Below are 3,064 nucleotides of genomic sequence, written 5' to 3' on the forward strand. Positions count from 1 at the left end.
GATATCATCAGAAGCTAGAAAAAATGATTAGGATTTTTCCTTTAAACTTTATACATTTGTGTTTTGTCTTGGTTTTGAGTATTTAGTGTTTTTTTCATTTTTAAATGAGCTTTGTAGTTAGTGCATTGGCCCTCAGGAACGATAATTTATTGTTTTTGTTTTATTTTAGGTTAAAGTAAAATTATGAGACTTCATATATTTCTGAGTGACTTAAGACTGTTCACTGGGAAACCACAGCTTGTGCACGATAGCACTGTGCTTGTATCAAGTGACCTCAGAGCTTTCCTGCATAGAATCCTTCCCCAATGCTCTTAATTTTCTGCGCTTGCAGGCAGGCCTTAGGCATCTTTCTGACCATCCTCGCGTATCCCAGAGTGGGCCTCGGTCTTTGCAGAGGTGTACCACCGCCCTCTGCTGGACAGATTGCAGCAAGTAGCCTCAGAGTCCCTTCTCAAGTGTGGGTTTCCTGCCCCGCCTCTCCTACACCATCAGACCTGAGTGGACATGTACAGTCTTCACAAAGGGTTAGGTGAAATTGATAATTTTAGAGGTTTGGGTATTTTACTAAAGATGCTTTGAGTAACATGATAAACAAGCATCTGACTTTTTAACTTGGGATTTTCAATGATACTCATTACAAACTGACTAGCATTCACATTTTGGAACACTCATTCCTTTTGACTGATTCAGCACACTTCGCCAGGTATTCTCCAATCAGAGAACTATTTTTATCTCACATGAATTAGAAGAGATGGTTCCTAACAGATAAAGATGATATTCCAATGAGATAAACCTTCTCCTTCTGAGTTAATTAGACATTGACTGGTAGGCTGTATTCTCAATCATTTTGCCATCAAATATTTTTTGAAAACCTACTACACACCCAGAAATCTTTTAAGTGTCAGGGATATAGCAAGAAATACAATACTTTAAAAAGATATATGCCAGTCACCTTGTATCTATTTCTGACCTGCTGAAATATAAGTTCTAATGGGAATACAACTAGAGTGACCAACCGTCTTGGTTTTCTCAGGATTCACAGGCTTCCTAGGATGCGATATTTTCAGTGCCAAAACAAGTACCAGGAAAATTGAAGGAGTTGGTTATGGTAAATACATCTCTACCATAAAAGATTGTAAACTACACTAGCATTTATTGAAAAATAGCCTTTCAATAGTGTTAGGTTCATCCTTAATACTATTCCTCTGAATAGTTTCTTCTCATTAAAAATGTGTTGCAATTTATAAATTACATAAAAATTAGTCTATTGAATTGTTGTTTGCAGAGCATTTTCTTATATACAAAAGAGCTGAGCAAACCTAAAATCATAAATTCAAATTTGCTCTGTGAAAGCCAAGCAAAGTAAATACCGGAAAAGCCAACCTCAATCTTGTAAGATGCAGAAAGAGCTTAGATTACCTATGCAGAGACACTTTAGAACAAAAGGGGAAATTAAAACCAGGAAAAGGTATTTATTAATGAAATCCCTGAGAAAGACAAACTATCAATCAGGTGATAACAAACGATAAAAGCTTAAAACTGGAAGATCCTAAAATTCACCCATTTTCTATCCAAACAAAACATTTTCTCCAGGATTTTGATGTTATTTATTAAAGCTTGAATACATCTTCTGACATATTATTCCAAAAAAAATTAGTCTTTATTTCTCACCAATAATTGTTTCCCATATTTTATTTAAATATGATCCTCTTAATTTTCTTAATTTTGCTTTAGATAATTTTTTAAAAAATATATAACTTCATATATCCATGTGTCGTTAGAACTAAAACTAAAATTCAATATTATTTTCTGCTTGACATCTGCTAAGAATGGAGGGTCTCAAATGGTCTAACTGCAAGTTCCCCTCCTCACTTTGCTTGTGAGAATAAAGCTCCCTAACTGAATAACTCTCCTTAGTGAGGTGACCAGGCACAATTTCTGCCTATTACTGGGGAGTAGGTTTCAGTTCCCAGCTAGCCTATGGATTTATTCAAACAAGCCAATCACGTCGTCTTGTGGGAACCAGGACATCATGCCCTCTTGATACTACAAAGCCTGCTCCCACAGCCCCTGGTTGTTCACTCTGTTCCTGGTGATATACTCCCTGGCATGCAGTGTCCTCCTCTCCTGGGCTGTGAGTATATGTGACTAATAAATTGCTGTCTATCCCATCTGTCCAGCACCAGGTATTGTGTATATGGCCATCACCTTAGCCCTAGCGTGGAAATCCCTTCCTCACTAATGGGGTAAAGAGGAGTCCATTAAAACAACCCATACCTATGATATCTTATACAATGCTACACAATTCTCCTCAGTCTTCTATTTTCCAGTGGTTTCCACTCTTATCCTGCAAAATCACTGCTGAGGTGAAGCTAGAAAATCATTGAAGTATAACAAGACATTGAAATAGGCATACTTTTTGATTGAGTGCAAATGAGGCTCTTATAATCACTGTTGAGAGATGAGTAAACTCAAAGCTTTTAAGAAGCTAGTTGCTTCATAAGAACTATAAGTGACGATTGGGGGGACTAGTATTCAGAAATTTTTGTAGACAAAGAAAAGTTGAAGGAAAAATATGCATTTGTTTAGCAAAGATTCTATTTTTTAAAAATCCAGTTCTAAATTTTATATGCTAAATGAGAAGCTGCTGTGTATGTTCACAAATCTACAGATAATTTCCTTCTCTGTTTTTATAAATGGTTTAATTCTTCTTTCAAACCTAAACTTATATGCCAGAAGTTGTAAGAACAACAAAAAAAAGCGACCATCCGAGTTTTAATACCTTACTTTGCTCCTACTCCCTGTGAAATAAAGAAATTGATAAGCAATGGACTGGTTACAGGTGGACATTAAGAATTATTCATAGAAAGTTAGCAGTGGAAAGGACATGAGGAACTCCCCAGCCCAACCATCCAGCTCTCACTGAATTAATGGATGTGAAAATGAGGTTCAGTAAATTGTCTGTGTGTCAGATGTCAGTGTCAGGCTCTCTAATTCTCAGCCCATTTCTTTTTCAGCACCCTTTGCCCCTCCCCCCACTTAAAATTAATTGAAAATTGACTAA

The 3,064-nt window shown here is 36.5% G+C and overlaps 1 annotated feature.

Moving 5' to 3' along the window:
* Nucleotides 209-258: a silencer, noted in NCBI's record as "silent region_13218". NCBI's record gives its function as "represses an Ori minimal core promoter by ATAC-STARR-seq in GM12878 lymphoblastoid cells {active_cell/tissue: GM12878}" and the evidence as "EXISTENCE:reporter gene assay evidence [ECO:0000049][PMID:35858748]".

Source organism: Homo sapiens, chromosome 21, assembly GCF_000001405.40.
Source record: "Homo sapiens chromosome 21, GRCh38.p14 Primary Assembly".
Classification (NCBI taxonomy): Eukaryota; Metazoa; Chordata; class Mammalia; order Primates; family Hominidae; genus Homo; species Homo sapiens.